Consider the following 20,104-nt stretch of genomic DNA (forward strand, 5'->3'; position numbering starts at 1 on the left):
GTCAACATTAAGAACTCAGAAGAAAGGAAGTTTTAGCCTTCTGCCTATTTACAAGCCTGCCTGTGCCTGCCCCACCAAAATTCCCAGAAAACATGCAAAATGTTCCTGAATCACCAAAGAGAAACCATTAATTGTTTAAAAAACAAAACTGACTTTGGATCAATAAATACAAAATACTGTCATAAAGAAAACTTTCTTTATGTTTTCCAACCTAGTAAGTGTTACTTAAAAAAAGCCTGAGTCAGAGAATAGTAAAGAAAGTAAACAATATTTTTAGCTTAAATTACCTTTCCAGTAAAACACAGTATAATATTTCTCTAAGATGCTTTTGTAAAGTCTGTTTATAAACTGAGATTCTAAGATAGAAGATAGTTAAGGTTGATTTGTAATTGGCTGGCAGCTTGCACAAGACCACAACAGTGACAGGTTGATGGAGCTGTAATAGGGACAGGGGATCTTTCGGACACAGATTGATTTTTATTTGACAAATGCTAATGATGCTCAAAACAAAACAAAACAAAACAAAAAAACACTGAAGCACTCCAAGCAGTGTTAGGTAGCGCATTAAGGATATTCAGAGAAGTGTCCGTGTCCCTTTTTGTGTAAATATTTATTTTTATTGATTTTCCTCTTCTTAACATTGTGTAAATAACTTCTGTTTGAACATAATTTTGGAATATCTGCACAATAGAAAGAAATTAGATGTTTGCAAATAGACAGTTGAGCCCTAGGGATATTTGGGGTTCTCCCTTTTTTAAAATATTTGTATTTCACAGAGTGAAATAACAGACCCTGGAGACTCCTGAAAGTGGGATGATGGGAGGCGGGTGAAGGATGAAATATTACCTATTGGAGACAATGTTCACTGTTCAGGCGACTGGGAAAGCTACAACCCAGATTTTACCACTGTGCATTATATCCACGTAATACAACTGCACTTTTACCTCCTACATCTATAAAAAGTTAAAAAAAAAAAAAACAGCTTGTGATCCTCTGTAAGAAAGCATGCTTACACTTGCCTTGATAGCTGCATATGTATTGAACCTATGTAGTATGAACCAATAAAAAAAGAAATGTTTTAATAACAAAAAAGTGTATTTCAGATAATCTTCGTGTAATTTTTGCATTTTTCTGTTTCTCTCTCAATGGCAATTAATTTTTCCTAAATCTCATCATATCCTCTTCTATACCCAGGTATAAATAACATATTACCTTTCTTATTAAAGATGCTTCTCAGGTGAAGGACTCAACTACTCCATTATTTAGTATAGTTTTATTTCTATAATGATTCTCTCACAGTGTCACCTTCATCTTCAGATTTCTTAAAAGTCCAGTCATCAGGCAGTATTTTTCTCACAAACATAACACCACCAGCCCTATTCTTAAAGCTAAGGGTGACCTTTCCTTTTCTGTCCAATATCCAAAGCGGTATAAACAGTTGGTGTTTCTTAAATATGTCTTGTGTTAATAATGTTATAAATGCTTGAAAAATAAAAGTACCACTGTGATACTAACAGTTCCGCAACTTTGTCTATATGAGGAGACCCTGCACGCTGCTCAAGTCTCCGCTGTCTTACCATTTCTGTGACTATAATGGCTCCTGGTAGCCCTCAGCTTCCCACAACTACACCCCTACGAGCTTCACTGAAACAGATCGTGTAAGTACTTCTTCACAGCTGCACACATTCTGATACCTATATGGTTGGTGTACAGACTACATGTCCCCAGACATCTGTTCCTAGTTCAGCCTTTACTATATTTAGCCTTTATTTGTGACTTATCCATTGATCTAATTTTAAAGTTTTGAATTGTAGAGAGAAGCCAAAATATGAATTAAAGAGAGAAAAAGATAGAAAAATATTATGAAGTCTAATAAATGAATTAAAACCAAAATCCAAAAATTGTTATGGAGGGAATCTTGGCTCCAATTTGATGCCCTCAAGTTTTAGGCTCTGTGCCTTCCACATAGCAATGATTCAATAAGGGTTCGTGAAAGGAACAGAGGGAGAGAAGGACAAGGCAGAAACCTTGCTTTCCCTAGAATCTGTTACTGCATTGAGGATATCTTACCTTTCCATGCTTCTCACGCTCTATTCTAGAAAAACGTGAAGAGGAAACAATATAAGTTTAGATTTTTATTTTACATAAAGCATCAAAGCAAGAAATTACTCCTTAGGGCCCCTCTGCATGTTTAACATATGTCTTCTCTTTAAAAACCGCATAACTCTTTCTTAATGAAGCATCTTCCACAATATACATTACCTAAACATCTGGCTAAGTAAAACCAATTATACTATTAAAAATAAACCAGGATTTGCCAACAATATGATCCAGTAGTGTAGTCTTCCTCAAAGTCAGATATTTGTACTCTAAACACAATTGTGTGGAATCCTGATTGGATTTTTCAACTAGAATACTTTTTCTTCTTTCTTTTCTATAATATCATTTAATCTCTACTTTCAAAACCTGATTAGAATGGTAAAACTAGGAATAGTGACAGACAGTGTAACAACAGTAAGCAGACATGCCTAGCTTGCTAACTGGGATTTTTCCAGCTTTATTTTCCTGGCTAATTCCTTTATTAGCATTGTGTATCTGATTTGCTTTCATGTGCGTAGCAGCTGGTTAAATGAAAAGAACGATTGCCTTGATCCTTGCCATGTAAGTTCAGTCAGAAGCCTAGGATGGAGCTAGTGCTTGCCTTTTCCCATCCTAACTATGAATGCTTTTTTTTTTTTTCAAGTAAATTAAAATACAGCCCATTGATTATTTAAAAATTGTGCAAAGGCCATCTGTTCAAAAAATATTTTCCTACATTAATGTGAAAGAAGTGAATGTGTAGGTACATAGGTTGTAGTATTGGACTGCAGAGTGAGTTCAAAGGCAATGCATTCTATATTTTCACTATTTACAAAAACAATGCAGAGGTGTATGGTTTCTACACAGATTATTTTTTATGGTTTATTACTTATAAAAATGCCTTATGCGTATGTCAGGCAATACATTGCCTTACTTATTGTGACATTTGATGATTTATCACCATTTAATAGTTTGAGAAAGTGTGAACATAATATATATATATATTTGAGACAGAGTCTCACTGTCGCCTAGGCTGGAGTTCAGTGGCGTGATCTTGGCTCACTGCAACCTCCAACTCCCAAGTTCAAGTGATTCTCCCACCTCAGCCTCCTGCGTAGCTGGAATTACAGGTGTGAGCCGCCACACCCAGCTAATTTTTGTACTTTTATTAGAGACGGGGTTTCATCATATTGGCCAGGCTGGTCTTTAACTCCTGTCCTGACCTCAAGTGATCCACCCGCCTTGGCATCCCAAAGTACTAGAATTATAGGCGTGAGCCACAGTGCCCAGCTGAGTGTGAACATAATCTATATAACCAGTTTAATAAAATAGTTTGAAATGGAATCTAAGGAGGGAGATTAACAATTCCAAACACACACATATGCACACCCACAAACATGAGATATTTTTCTTTTTAAAAATGCTGTTATTCTCTTGATTTGTAAACTATTTACATGTTTAACATAAAACACTCTTTGATTTTGATAAAATATATTTGTTAGACCATAAAAATCCTTTTTAGATTATGTGACCTTCAAAATAAAGTGTTGAATCTGGAATTTTATGGTATTTTCCCAATTACAATTCTCGAAATTCTACCTTTAAAAATTCCGCTAAAACAGCAAGATTTGAGTATTTTCATCTTCCATAGCAGTTAAAGTTGCACATAGGAGCAAAATAAGTACTTTATGTCAGTAATTTTAGAATGCTTTACTTTTTTCTTTTTTGTGTTTTATATTATACATTACCACAGACATTAACAATCAGATTTCAGATGCGATTGTAAAATACATATTCAAAATAGCAGCAAGTATTGTTCCCAATGCTCAGGTTGGACTAAAATGTTGAAAGTCTCTATCAGAGATATGGAAAGAAACAAATTTCCAAGTTTAGCCCATCCGAAGTTTCTATAGCACTGCAGACTGAAATGAGGCCTAGCCCTGAAACAAGTGTTTCCCAACTTGCATTTTCCCCCGTTAAGCTTACTTGAAGACTCCTAATCTCTATGCACTAAAGTGGGCTGCTCCTCCTAGTAGTCCAGAACATTTAACATTTTTCATAACAAGTGAAGGAAAAGGGTTTGGGAAATAGATCTTCAGTTGGCAATTGGAAGGATATTTCATTCATTAAGAAGTTGTTTAGTGCTATCAATATGACAGTTTGGTAAATGCAAGAAACCTAAAAGGGTGAATGTCTTTATCAGAAAAAGAGACATTTGCATACCAGATATAGTCACAAAGTACTAACTTTAATAAGTAGTCAAGCAAGATACCAGACATTGATCAAAGCACCAATTCTATAATAGCCCACTTTAATAAATTACAGTTGAGAAGTTATTCTCAAATTAAAAGAAGAAAATTTAGAATCCTGTGACAAATCCTGTCTTCACTTTTCTGTATACCATTCATTAAATAACTTAAAATTAGGTATTAAAAATACATGTACATCATTTTAACAAGTAAGTCTCTGCACTTTTGTCCCTGTGCTAGTATTAGACACTTAAAAGAAGACTAAGTTAATGATCCTTTTAGACTGAGGAAAAAATAGAACTAATTTGAATGAATCCTAGAAAACGTTAAGGTTTAAGATCCTTGACTTTTTCTTGTTCTTTCACTAAATAGGTAAAGGATACAATTTTATTTTTCTACAGTAGAATCTAATCTAAAATGTGGCAAAATGACATTGTTGACAGTTGTTTATAATCCAGTTAAATGTATTTTGGGTGTATATTGACCATGGTAGCTTGAACTCAACCACTGTAAAGTGTCTTTGACCATGCAATGAACAGAAATATTTGTCAGCAGCCAAGCCTTGGATATCATATGTGAAAGATGATTTAAAATTCCAATGGCAATACTTGACAAGGCACAAATGAAAGCAAAAATAAAGGTAAATATGTCCAATAATGCCATTGGTTACAATATCTGCTAAAGCATACATGGATTTAAAAGGAGAGAATCTTAACATTTAATAAGAGGCTATTCTACACAATATCAAAAAACTAAAATAAATTAATCATAAACTTCTAGACTGGTGGTTCTCAAACTTAGCTTCACTTCAAAATCATCTGGAGCATTAAAAAAAAATACCAGTGTCTGAATCTTACTCTCAGGGATTGTTTTTGTTAGACTGAGGTGCAGCCTGGGCGTTGGAATTTTTATAGCTTCCAGGTAATTCTAATGTGCACCAAGGTTAAAACTCACCATTCTAGGTTTTTTTTCTCTCTCTCTGCCTACTCCCCTTTCTCTTTCTTCAAATCACTTTTGCAACATCAACAAAACAAATAGCTGTTGTTTGATCTTTGGGCAATCTATGTATGATGGTTTTCAGCTATTTTTACAGCTATTTTTTTCTATGTAAACAATGTAAAAAATACAGCTTTTTTGAATTATTTTAAAATTTCTTACTTATAAATAAATATGATCCTTAATGTGAGGACAATTCCATTCTTTACACTTACAAAGACATATAATTAAAAAAATAAACAACGACTCTTATAGTGTGTATTAGAGTTCTCTAGAGGGACAAAACTGATAAGATAGATATTCGTATCTAATAGTATCTAATAGATAGATATTAGTATATAATAGTATATATGAAAGGGTGTTTATTAAGGAGTATTGACTCACATGATCACAAAGTGAGGTTCCACAATAGGCCGTCTGCAAGCTGAGGATCAAGGAAGCCAGTCAAGTCCCAAAACCTCAAAAGTAGGGAAGCCAACAGTGCAGCCTTCAGTCTATGGTCAAAAGCCTAAGAGCCCCTGGCAAACCACTGGTGTAAGTCCTAGAGCCCAAAAACTGAATAACTTGTCCAGTGTTCGAGGGCAGGAAGCATCCAGCACGGGAGAAAGATGGAGACCAGAAGACTCAGCCAGTCTAATCCTTCCACGTTCCTATGCTTGCTTTTATCCGAGCCACACTGGCAGCTGATTAGCTGTTCCCACCCAGATTGAGGGTGGGTCTGCCTCTCCAAGTCCACTGACTCAAATGTTAATTTCCTTTGGGAACACCCTCCCAGACATACCCAGAAACAAACTTTGTATCCTTCAATCCAATCAAGTTGACAGTCAGTATTAACTATAGCGTAAATTCTCCTTACAAAATAATTCCAGCCACCCAAAATTTGTACACCTGGCTATATGATGCTCAGAAACAGCTTACTTAAGTAGCTTACTTAAGTTTTGGGTGCTTAAATCAAACGAATACGTTCTTATTTAGCCCTGAATGTCTGGCTATGTTTGGTTTGACCAGAAGTAAGCTGGTGACTCTGGTATCATTATATGGATAAGAACACTCTTCACATGCCCTTGCAAGAATTTTCCAATTCTGTCCCTCAGCTTTCTCATATCTAAAATAAATGAGTTTAGCAATGTCTAAGGTTCTTAAAAATTCTCAGGATGTACACTTTATTTTTTCACACTCGCAATTTTGCTGTGTTACAAAACTAAGCTCATGATGTAGACAAAGTTGTATATCCTGATTCTCTCACAACTCTATGCCATTGCTGGTTTTGAGTGTTATGCATATTGTGGATATAGAAAAAATTACCCCCCAAAAGTCAATAATCATGCTATCTCACTACAACCATTTTGATATAGTCTTCTTCAGCAATTTTTCAGTTAGATTTTATGCATGCACACACACATACACACCCACACAATATTTGAAAAATAATTTTGTAGTAGCAAAGATGAAAAATTTTTGAATGAATTAATAAATATTACAAATAGTACTAACACCAGCAATTAAATATTTAGTAGAATTTCTTATTTAATGTTATAACAAAAATATTTTACAGTGCCATACAATTATAAACCATATTTGAAATGCTACATAATTTTCCATTTTACAAATGATTAGCTCTTGCCCTACTGCTAAACATTTAGGTTGATTCCATTGTTTTAATTTTGTAAATAATGTTATGTAGAACGACTATATATTTGCCTTTGATTATCTCTAATTATTTCCATGAGCTCACAGAGCATGAAAATTTTTAAAGTATTTTTATTCATATTGCCAAACAAGTACAAATTTAAACTTCCTCTAACAGAATGTTAAAAATCTCACACTAACCAAAATTGAGTACTATTTTTTTTTTCAGTTGTATGAGTGAATGAAGGATTTACTTCTAAATCTGTTTTCTTCATTCTTCCAAGAAACTGTATCCTCTATCCTTAGGCCAATATCTGAAGGTGAGAAGAATCCACAGATGATTACAGACTGATAAAGACTGATGTGCTTATTGCTTACTGTTTTACTCTTTTAAGTAAAGTGAAAATATGAAGATATACAAAAATGTAATAATGATTTCTTAAATAAATAATAATGGAGAGGCTGGGCGCGGTGGCTCACACCTGTAATCCCAGCACTTTGGGAGGCCAAGGCGGGCTGATTGCCTGAGCTCAGGAGTTCAAGATCAGCCTGGGCAACACAGTGAAACTCCATCTCTACTAAAATACAAAAAATTTGCTAGGTGTGGCAGCGTGCACCTGTAGTCCCAGCTACTCGGGAGGCTGAGGCAGGAGAATTGCTTGAACCCGGGGGGTTGAAGTTGCAGTGAGCCAAGACTGTGCCACTGCACTCCAGCCTGGACAACAGAGTGAGACTCTGTCTCCAAATAATAATAATAATAATAATGGGACATTTAAAGATCAATTTAATATTTTAAGAAAAAGCTAAATGAAAAATCTGAGAAGAAAGAAAAAATAATAATATTACTGGCAATATGAATTAAAAGCTTCAAAAGTTTTCATACTTTGAACTCATGGAAATAGAGGTGATTAATTATTGCAGAAAATTATTTTCATTTTTTAAAATTTACTTAAGTTTTATTCATAACTTGCTATGAATGTACTGATTGTGGAAGATATCTTTCCTGGAACACACATCATTTCTACAATTCTATAAGGGACTTTCTCATACCTCCAAAGATAAGAATGAAGATCTGCCTGCCTACCATATCAGCCTGTGTAAGAGAAACTAAGTTAACTCTGCCTCCCTGGACTCAAACGACAACAACAACCGCAAACAAACCAACACCAAACCGTATTTTTTTGGTTTTGTTTTGTTTAGAGATGGAGTCTCGCTTTGTCACCCAGGCTGGAGTGCAGTGGTGCAATCTCGGCTCACTGCAACCTCCGCCTCCGGGGTTCACACAATTCTCCTGCCTCAGCCTCTCACGTAACTGGGACTATAGGTCCCTGTCACCACGCCCGGCTAATTTTTTGTATTTTTAGTAGAGATGGGATTTCACCGTGTTAGCCAGGATGGTCTTGATCTCCTGACCTCGTGATTCACCTGCATTGGCTTCCCAAAGTGCTGGGATTACAGGCGTGAGCCACTGCGCCAGCCAAAACCTTGGTATTTTTAAGAAAAAATACATTTTTGGCCAGGCATGGCAGTTCACACCTGTAATCCTAGCACTTTGGGAAGCTGAGGCAGGAGGATCTCTTGAGTCCAGGAGTTCAAGACAAGCCTGAGCAACATGGCAAAACGAAGAAGGAGAAGAAGGAGAAGAAGAAGAAGAAGAAGAACAAGAAGGAGAAGGAGAAGGAGAAGGAGAGGAAGAGGAAGAGGAAGAAGAAAAGAAGGAAGAAGGAAGAAAAATTAGCCTGATGCAGTAGCATGTACCTGTAGTCACAGCTACTTAGGAGGCTAAGGTAGGAGGATCAATTGAGCCTGGGAGGTCAAGGCTGCTGTGAGCCATGATCAAGCCACTGTGCTCCATCCTGGGTAATGTAGCAAGACCCTGTTTCAAGAAAAAAATAATAATAATATATTTTAGTTAAGATTGTATTCATTCAAAAAAATCCTTTTCCAGAGCAAAGAAACCCCAACTTAAAATTTAACTCATTTTATACTGCCTTTAAAGTGCTAATCTAGCACATTAAAACCTATCACTTCTGGTTGCCCCATGAGTTCATGAGTCTACCATTAGCCAATTAATCACATTCTGTCCTCAACAAAGTAATAAGATATGTCACTTAAGAAATAAAGTTTGTCCAGCCTAGCGAACATGGTGAAATCCTTTGTCTACTAAAAATACAAAAATTAGCCAGGCGCAGTGGTTCACACCTGTAATCTCAGCACTTTGGGGACCAAGGTGGGAAGATCACGAGGTCAGGAGTTCAAGACCAGCCTGGCCAAGGTAGTGAAACCCCATCTCTAATAAAGATACAAAAACATTAACCTGGCGTGGTGGTGTGCACCTGTAACCCAGCTACTCAGGAGGCTGAGGCAGGAGAATCACTTGAATCCAAGAGGCAGAGGTTGCAGTGAGTGAAGATTGCACCATTGCACTCCAGCCTGAGCGACAGGGTGAGACTGAGCCAAGATTGATTGCGCCACTGCACTCCAACCTGGGTGACAGAGCAAGACCCTGTCTCACACACACACACACACACACACACGCACACAAAGAAAAAAGAAATAAAGAAATAAAGTTTGTAAAGATATAGATTTCTTTCTTATAAAATAAAATTTTTTCCTAGATATTCACTCCAAATCAAACACTTTAATAAGGAAGTTTTTCCAAAAATATACAGAGTCCATATGTTTCTAATGTTATTTAAGTTAAATGAAGAACATATATTTTAACCATAATAAACCATAAATAAACTATAGAAAGAGGATAGAGATAAAATTGGGCAATTTTCCTCTGCTTTACCTCTCCTTTTTTTTTCCTTTTAAGCAATAAAATAAAAATAAAAGTGACTTTTTGACTATACTATTATTATTCTTTTCTTTATTCTCAGATTTATCTTTTAGTTTTTTCTTAAAATATTACATTGGTCTGGGCACGGTGGCTCATGCCTGTTATCCCAGCACTTTGGGAGGCTGAGGTGGGTGGATCATGAGGTCAGGAGATCAAGACCATCCTGGCCAACATGGTGAAACCCACCTCTACTAAAAATACAAAAATTAGCTGGGCATGGTGGTGCTTGCCTGTAATCTCAGCTACTCAAGAGGCTGAGGCAGGAGAATTGCTTGAACCAGGGAGTCGAAGGTTGCAGTGAGCCAAGATCGCGCCACTGCATTCCAGCCTGGAGACGGGGCGAGACTCTGTCTAAAAATAAATAAATAAATAAATAAATAAATAAATAAATAAATAAATAAAATAAAATAAATAAAAATTAAATTGTCCTTTAAAATCTCCCACTGTTTCTTTTTTTTAAAAAAAATCATTATTACATTTTTATATATCTTCATAAGGACCTTGGAATCAAGATCCATTTTTTAAAATAGTAAAACATTATACAATAAGCACATCAGTCTTTACCACACTGTAATTATCTGTGGAATCAATTTTTCTCTGTTAAGTATGGTAGAGCCCAAGAAAAGTTGGGCTTTTGTTAGGATTATGGAGGGGATTCACTGCATAGAGCATATGTTGGAGAGCTGGTAATGCCTTTAGTGGTCTAAGCTGGCCATCCTGGCTCCATTTCTGATACTGAGAAGTCTGTGGTTGAGGATTAGTCTCAGATCTCTCACACTTCCCTTGATTATACTGATGCCTATGCATAACATTTCACATGAAAATCCCAGTCTCTGTCCCATCGCTCACAGATATTAATCAGTTGTACTAGTTCAATCAGGATTTATGTATCAGCACAGCATAACCCTCTTACTCTTTAAGATTTGTCATCAGGCATTAGGAATTTCCAATGGGGGAAAATGTTTTCATAGAGTAAGAAAGACACTAAATGGAATTTTAGTGTTTGGGAGAACAACTCGTTATCCAACTAAGCTATTAAACCTATTTGGCTTAGCCCTCTTAAAGCATAACCCTTTAGGTTTGCCTAAAAGGAGAAAGAAAAGGAGAAGGTGACATGGTGCTGGAAACAGGCAAACCGTCTCTCCTCTTTTCCCCACTTTCCTCTCTCCTCCACCCCATCTTCCCTTCCACCTTCTGCTCCACAAGCTAGCAGACAGCAAGACAGGCCGGAAACTTGAAAACTGGCAGAACCCACCAATCAGAATCAGGGTACTGCATACTCAAGTGATAATTATTCAGACAGTCCTGCATTGTTTACAAACACCTGCCCCTGTACCAAATGTCTAATGTTCTCTTTTGATTCTTGAACACATTTACAATTCACTTTTTCTTAGAACTTGTGTTCTGTTAATAAGAAAGATATGGTTTTATTTTATCTTGTAAGAAACTATTTTTTATGCTTGACAAGCTACTTTACTATCTTATACTTTCTGCCTTGTAATATGAAGTTGGAATCTAAAAAAAAAGCCCCCAAAACTTTCATAACTTGTTTTTATTATGAACTTGCTTTTATTATGGCACAATGAGCAACTTCTAAAGCTAGTGAGTTTCCCATCCCTAAAAGGAGTCAAAATAAAAGGCCAAATTACCTTAGTGTAAGGATAGTTGAACATGGATTCTTAAATTCAGTAGAAAACTGGACTAAATTGTTTCTACATTTTATTTCAACTCCAATAATTCATTTAAGCCACCTATTTTCAAAATTGTTTGAGATAACTTTCAATAAAATATATGTGGTTGGTCGATTCAAGTGGAAATTGAAACTACAACTTCTGAGAACTCAAGATTATAATTATGTCTAATATAAAGTCTTATTAGAAGATATAATAACGAAGCATACCCAGCTAGGCAGAGTTTTCTAAGCTTATTCATACATTCTGAACAAATTTGCCAAATATGACTAGTGTCAACAGACTGCAGATTTTAGAGCCAGTTGAATGTTCCTCTCTCTAAAAGCAAGTTTAGTTTGTTTCTCGCTTTCCTATAGAAACCTTATTGAAATATTTAGTATCTGAGTTTGATGGTTTTATATCATAGGACGTTCTTAGCAGACAGTATCTTGCACCCAGTAGGTAGTATGTGTAAGTGTATGCATTGAATTGAATATCCTAGAACAGACAGTCCTTATCCAATTCTGTCTTCAAATGTCTTACCTCATTCTGAAGAATGGATATAAATCCTGATGAAGTCCTAATTAGATAGTAAAAGAGGGATAGAATAAAACAATAATGAGCACAGATAGCAACAGTCTAGTGCCTGTCTGTTTGGAGAGAAGCAATCTTCCACCTACATTATTTTCTTTACAGATGAAAAATGTAGTTTGTAGCTTTAGTGTTATGTTCAAATAAAGATTAGGGAAGGTGAACAGGCAGCAAGCTAATTGCCTGGAATCTAAAATTGGTAGATCTTAATAATTTTTTTTTTTTGATGGAGTCTTCCTCGGTGCCCAGGCTGGAGTGCAACGGTATGATCTCAGCTCACTGCAACCTGCACCTCCTGCGTTCATGCAATTCTCCTGCCTCAGCAGCCCAAGTAGCTGGGATTACAGACATGCACCACCAAACCCAGCTAATTTTTTCATATTTTTAATAGAGACAGGGTTTCACCATGTTGGTCAGGCTGGTCTCAAACTCCTGACCTCAAGTCATCCACCCGCCTCAGCCTCCCGAAGTGCTGGGATTACAGGTGTGAGCCACCGCACCGGGCCAATCTTAACAATTTAACAAGGTGCAAATGAAAAAGAAAGAAAACCTTCAGTCCTTTTAATATTTAAGGGTAATCTATGTCACTCTTCATCTACAACATTCAATGGAATTGCTTCCAGTCTTTTCTCATTAGATTTTTTCAGAACCTTGGCCTGTGGTCACTCTGAGCCCCAGTTCCACAGCAGTGTTAATCACTTCCTCCTCGCTGTCCCTAAAAGATCCCAAGACCTCTCCATTGTGATTTTTTTTAAAAATCAAGTAACCCTTCTCCTACTAGCACCTCTTCCATTTTCCTCCTTTCTAGCAAATCTAAACGTTCCCAATTAAGTTTTTCTCTCCTTTTTTTTGACCATTATATATACTCTCCTCATTCTTAATATTCTATAGTCAAACTGTGCTCTCCTTCTGTACTGATAACTGTTTTAAGGACACAATGATCATTTGTTGATTAAATTAGTGGTTGTTTTCCTTCAACCTCCTGCTGTGTTTTCTACTATTGGCCGCTTTCTGCTCACACCACACCTTAGATTGGTGTAGAATTTGTCTGCTGCAAGGCCTTAGGTCTCTTTGAAGTACTCTGACTACCCCTCCTCTGCCTCTTTCTCCATCCTCCCATTCCATAAAGTGGGCTTTTCCCTCAAGATATAGACCCAAGCAAATCTTTAAACAATTATAAAAAAATATATTCTAAGATATATAATTAAATAATTCTCCGCTGATACCATCTCTTCATCTCTTGGTCAGTTTTTGTTTTATCCTTGGGCCCAATTATGGCCCAGCAGGTATTTTATTATTTATATCATTCATATATTTTTCTTCCTTTCCAGTCTCATTTTTAGCTACTACACACCTATAGAACTCTCAGAAGGACTTTCTGTAGTTTCTTTAGCTTATGACATTAGTTTCTCATCCTATCTGGTTTGCATTGCTCTGTGTGTGTGTATGTGTGTGTGTGTGTGTGTGTGTGTATGTTTTATGTGCACATATCTTGTTTCCTCAGCTTCCCTATCAGCTCCTGAAGGACAGAAAGTATATTGTACACTTACAGTGTAACCAGTAGTTCTGGCAGAGTCTCTTACTCATAGTTAAGATGGTATAGATACTTGTAATCACGAGGTTAGTGGATAAGTACTCAGTCACTGTCAGGAGCATGGATAAGGAATACAGCGTAGCTCTTTATCCATTGTTTCAGATCTCCACTCAGACCAACACATCCTACAGAGCAGGACCCACCGACACATTCATCGCCAGTTTTGCTAATTCTTCTTGATGACTATTTTCATTTCTATCCCAAATTTCTATTCAAATATTGATTTTTTCCTAATGAATTTTATAATGTGGATATAATGTTAGTCAGTTTTTGAAATTGAACAACAAATTGTTGATTTGGAGCATGTATATGTGTGTGTGTTTTATATTAGTTTGTTAGAGCTGACATGAGAAAGTACCATATACTGGGTACTATGAAAATCTATTTCCTCACAGTTCTGGAGAAAATGCAGAGAAATTGAGATCAAGGTGTCAGCAGAGTTGGTGCCTGTGAGGTCTCTCTCTGGCTTATAGATGGCGGTCTTCTCCCAGTGTCTTCCCATGGCCTTCCTTCTGTGCCTCTCTGTGTCTAAATGTTCTCTTCTTATAAAGACACCAATAATATTAAATTATGGTCACCTTAATGACTTCATTTTCACTTAATTAGCTCCTTCAAGGTCCTTTGATATCTCCAAATAATCACCTTCTGAGATACAGGGGTTAGGAATTCAGCATAGGAATTGTGGGGGGGGGGACAAAATTCAGCACATAAAATTTAAGTAGCAAAGTAATTGTGTGAAAAAAAGCAATATAGAAAGAGAAGAGAGACATTAAACTTTGAGGAAGAAAAAAAAGAATCACAAAAATGTAATCAGTCATCCACCCTAATGTCTGAAGAATTCAGCAGGGAAGGTGTCAACCACAGGACATCAGGGAGGTCACGGGACTCAACACTGCCATTTCAGTGAAGAAAAGGAAGTAGCTAATGTATCCAGTGAAATTCCAAAGGGTGTTAATCATATCAGTTTTTATTCCCTTGAGAAATTCTCTTGAAACTGAGGTAAACATCTGGAATGCACAATTGACAGAGACATATGGAGCTCATGCTGTAATAATATAAATATGCTTTCTATCCTCTTTGGGGGCATAAGTTACATTTTGAATTATGTCATCACACATATGCTGCCCTTGTGTATCAGCAGTTTAGCATTACATGCAGATCTAAAACTGTCCCTAGGCCTGGGTCATTTATTGATTGTGTTCGGTCATGGTTTTTACTGATCATTTCTAGTCTCACATTCAGGTGGCTCTTTCAGCGCATTTTAAAGTTTCCTTGCTGCTATCCCTGCTGTTATTTCTTAGGTGACTCATGTTGTAATTTTCCAAACTGACTGTCTTCACAGTGAGAGGAAAAGCATTCACGCAGCTAAAATGGATTTTATGTTCAATGTCATTCTAAACTATCAGTGAAAAAAAGTTGAACAGGTTAGCATTTGAAACAGGTACATGGGGAGCATTATAAAGGGGCTCATTTAGGAATTAGCTACCTGCAGAACATCTTCATGTCAGAAAGATTCCTCGAACTCACAGAAGCATAATGGGACTCACAGCAATACTAATCCTTAGTGGCAATCCTAAATACATGGACCCACTTTCTGCCATATCACTATATGTGACATTCTGCAGACTGTGCACACTCACGTGCTCACGCACACACACGCATGCGCGTGCACACACACACACTTTGGGTGAAAGATGCAATATTAGTTAAAGCAAAAAAAATCATAAAATATGCAATTGTATTGGGTTTGTAAAAGAAGAATACCTTATTAATTATCATGATTGACATTGAAATGACCAAAAAAATTCAACAGTAGAAAAAGAAGAAAAATAGGGAAACATGATTTTTTCAGTATATTTGCCTTAATTAGAAGAGTGACTTTTTCCAAGTGGATGATCATTCTCTCTTTGGGGTGGTGGCATATAAGAAGATTGAGTTTAGACAGGGCTTTTTCTAACTCTGAAGGCATCTCGTAGTTCCTGACACACACTTAGGTGTGCCTCTCTTCTTGAGAGTTACCAAGTATAATAAAGGCATTACTAACACTTGCTTTTTGTGCCTAAGGGGAGTGTAGAGACTTTTTTTTTTTTAAAGAAAATCTCCTGGGAAATATTATATCACAAAACTCACCTCTGTGAACAAATGTCTTTGGTTGGATGATTCTCAAGGAAATGTGGACGGAAGAACAGAGGCAGAGAAACAGAAGGGGATGGGGGGTGGAGTGTGGGACAGGAGATAGTGAAGGTAAAGAAAGTCATCATGGTTGACAAAGGAGTTTGATATGGTCTGATTTGAAATTCTTTAAGCAGATGAGAAAAGGGAGGTGCACAAACTTACATACTTCCTAGGCATGTCTTGGGCAGACAGAATGAATAGAGGAAAGAATGCAGAGAAACATATGGTGCTTGGACATAGTAGAGAAAGCATGGGTCTGAATTCAGGTAGATAAAAAGAGCATCAGTTTGCACCATACATTAAGTAGGTCAGAGATCACACATTAGGTATCAAGGGGAGAAAAGAGAGTAGGAAATAAGTAGAGGGCAGGTGTCATCCATATAAATAGGTAAAGAATGAATTCCAGGAAGCAGGGAAGGGAATCAAGAATCTGGGCCAGGGCACTAAAGAGAAACAGGATCACTGACACATCTCAGTGCTCAGCTGTTTGAACCAGGGACCTGTACCAAAAGTAATATTTGAACGCAATGATAATGAATCTTAATCCTGTAAATGATCATCTCTAGGAAATTAGATGATCTTTCCTGGTGTCTGTGAGCCACCATTGTCTATTCATTTAGTCCACATTAATGAGAAAATTCTCCAGGTTTCACCATGGAAAATTGGCAGCTTTTGAAGATTGATCCTTCAGCAGTCATATGGCTCAGTCCAGCTCAGTCAGTAAATCCTGAGCTCATTCTCATAATCCTTTCTCAAGAAAAAATGCTACGGACTACTTGACTTGATTTCTATAGATTGTTTTTTCTATATAGGAACTATGTGGTCAGATTTTTATAAATTTTAGGTATCATACAATATAAAACACACAGTAGCTGTATACTCACACACAGACACACACACACACACAAACACACACACACAGGCATAAAGTACAGATGGCTACAGAATGATGATAACATTGCACCTTCTTATGAAAAGCGCACCCATATGTCCTAAAGTTAAATTAGTGCTATCTAATGATGTTTGACCCTCATGTATTTTTTACTGAGGTCTTTTGATTCTCATTTCCTCCATTTAAATAATGAACTCCTCTTGTTTTTGTCAAATGACAAAAAAAAATTTAGTCACACATAAAATTCATCAAAATCTTTGTTCATTATCAAACTTGTAAGATAAGGTTAACATTATTATCAAAAATTATTATAAAGGAATCCTGTATTCTGTAATTGATCTTGCATCAAAAATTGACAGGCACAAATGAAGGATTTTTGTCACTTTAAGCAAGTAATTCTCCCTTTTCTTTACTGTATGAGTCCGTATTCTTGCACATTTTGTAGACTGTCAAATAAGCAAAGACACTTTATTAGTGATTTGCAGCATTTTATTGTTAAGATTTTCACTGCTTTCTCAACGGTTTCCTGACTTGCAGAGGATTTTTTTCTTCTTCTTCTCATTTCCTACCAGTGTAGCATTTTAAGTAGGTGTTATAAATCTCTGCCAAAGGCACATTCATAGCCCTGCTTGAATAGTTTCATTTAGACTAGAACTACCCTTACTTTTCAAGTCCCTTCAAGATCTTTATCATAGTGAAATAACACTTTGTTTTCATTAAAGGATAAAGCACAACTTTATAAAAAGCCCCCAAAGTAACGAATACAGAAGATTTCTTTAATTTTTGGAGTAGATTCAATATTAAATCTTATTATTAAATTAATTTTAAATGTCTACTTGAAATCCAAATAGGGATTTTAAATTATTTTTTAAATACAGAAAGGGACATGTATATTAAGTATATTTTAATACATTTACTATTTTAGCTCTATAAATCACTCTTGATGACTGCATGCTGTAAACATTTTTCACAGAGGCAAACAAAATGCTCATGTCTTCTTTGGTAATTTTAGTCAAATGTGCTCTAATAGACTTGTGACAAGTATGTTTTTCCCTAATCCAAGACTTCTAATTCAGGCCACAAATATTACTTCAAAATATACCAAATCCAGCAGAGAAGTATATTGAGCTGGAGTTTCCAGAAGGGAAAAGTGGAGATAGAAATCTTTCGCAAATTCCATTTACAACCTTGCCAAGTAGATGCCAAGAATACTAATCTCTTGAAAGGTGTCATAACTTTTCAAAATTTTAGCCGGAAGGCAGCTATATAGTATTCTTCTTGATCTGTTTCATGATCAGTCAGAATGGTTTATTCATGTGGTTATAAGTGACCAGGGAACACATCTCCTAATGACTTACAGGATTTTTTTTTTCCAGACGAATAGATTTCCTAACAGATATATCTTTTGGGGAAAAAAAATCAAATGTATCAGACATAAGATGACCTTTCTCTTTCAACATTTCTTTTGTAACATCAGTCACTCTGTTCTCTTCATATAATGATGAAAAACCACCACTTTCAGTTTTATAAAAGCTTCTATCTTCACAATGAGCCATTTTCATAAAGCATTACACTGCCTTTAGGATAAATGCATGTGGTGCGTGTTACAGCCCCTACTGTGTGCTGATGCATTTATTCTTTTTGCTTTAATTTTTAGTGTTTCAAATGATAGAAAAAAATAATATAATAGCGTTCATAAATTCAACAGGCACCTCCTACAGGTTTTGTGGTAGACCCTAAGATCACCTGAAGTCTGGAACCTATGTTTAGAATCCTGGGGTCTTTTGCTTATACAGTATGTTATAAATATGTTTATATTCATGTTCATTTGTAAAGCCTAAAATGTCAGTCAGTGAAAGGAACTCTCTTCACCCAGTAAATGACAAAACTACCTGTTTTTATCTTAATGCATGCTCTTCTCTCCTCAGTTGAATATTTTTACAGATATAATTCGTAGGATATGTTTCTGTGGTATTTATGTAATACAAATTTACATTATATTTAATTAAATCTTTACCCAAATAAAGTGAGGAATTAGTGGCATCCCTTGGCTTTATAGTCTAACAGGTGTGTGTGAGGTTTAAAAGTTCCTATCTCATTTTAACTGATATTTTGTAATCCTAAATTCCAGAATTAAAATACTATGAATGATTTTATTTACCCTTTCATGGGGCATATACCTTGATCATTGATTTTTATTGCAGCCAGGAATAATAGAGGGAGGCAACTGTGCAGTGTGTGTGTGTGTGTGTGTGTGTGTGTGTGTGTGTGTGTTTCCTTGAGTGGGTTGCTCAGACAAGAATCTAGGATCAGAATCTGAGATCACCTACTTTGAACCCATAATCTTGAAATAGAATCTAATGGAAAGCTGCTTGTAGAAAGATAAGCAGAGCACTATTCACCCTGCTGTTTACTGGGGAGGATGAAACTCGATTCTGTTTCACAGCTGCATTTACTCCCACCTCCTCCTGACATCTGTGGGCTAAGGGAACACAAGCTTGTGAAGAAAACTGTGTTCAGTCACCAATTACAATGAAAACTCTAAAAGAGGGTGGAGGAAGGAATGGCAAAATAGGAACAGGAACAGGACAGGAACAGGAAGAGGACTGAATTAATTTTATTCCATTGCCTAATGTATATTTTTAAATTTTCCTTATCTGATTTCTTTAGGCTTGGGACATAATTGTCCACCTGCCCATCTGACAGAATTTTACTCAATAAATGCCTCATATAGCCATGTCTTGAGGTTTCAGAACATCATCTCTTGTGCTAGGTTGAATAAACCAAAATTACTCCTTACCATGGAAATGTGTGTTTTCATAAATGAAAGCAATAAAACATTAACCAAAAAAGCCAGACCGGAAAGATTTTTCTGAGGACACAGGTCAAAGTGGACAAATATTATGTAACCCTAAATTTGGAGCTAACACACGTTTATTATTTTACAAAGCTGAACTCAGTCATGCAATAGCTATAGACTCCATCTTTCTAAGGTTAGAAAGTAGGTGAATATAAATAGGAATAATAGAATTATAAGTGAATAGTAGAATTATAAGTACACCAGAATAAATGTGTACTAGGATATGACAGATTCACCATGTCAAATAAATAGCAGAAGTGAATGATAAGTATGCAAAACACAAGAATAAATAAAAATTTAGGCCTAAAATTTAATTTTTACCATTCTTACAAAAAATACACATTTAATAGACAATAAAGTATACACAAATATATTAAAGAATTTGGTAAGGTGTAGATGTTTTTTAAACTTTAGGATCAAGAACACTTGGCATCCATTTATTATAAGTGTAAGACTTGTCAAGGAGACAGACAGAGTCGCTATTGAAGTCCTTTCCAGCTCATTGAGCCTAAAACCCTTAAATGCTG

The 20,104-nt window shown here is 36.1% G+C and overlaps 1 protein-coding gene across 2 annotated transcripts in view; it reads left to right on the forward strand.

Moving 5' to 3' along the window:
* The window catches only part of KCND2 (potassium voltage-gated channel subfamily D member 2), a 477,430-nt gene that overhangs the window by 296,544 nt on the left and 160,782 nt on the right, over positions 1-20,104 (forward strand). The window lies entirely within an intron of this gene.

Source organism: Homo sapiens, chromosome 7 (genome assembly GCF_000001405.40).
Source record: "Homo sapiens chromosome 7, GRCh38.p14 Primary Assembly".
NCBI classification, from domain to species: domain Eukaryota; kingdom Metazoa; phylum Chordata; class Mammalia; order Primates; family Hominidae; genus Homo; species Homo sapiens.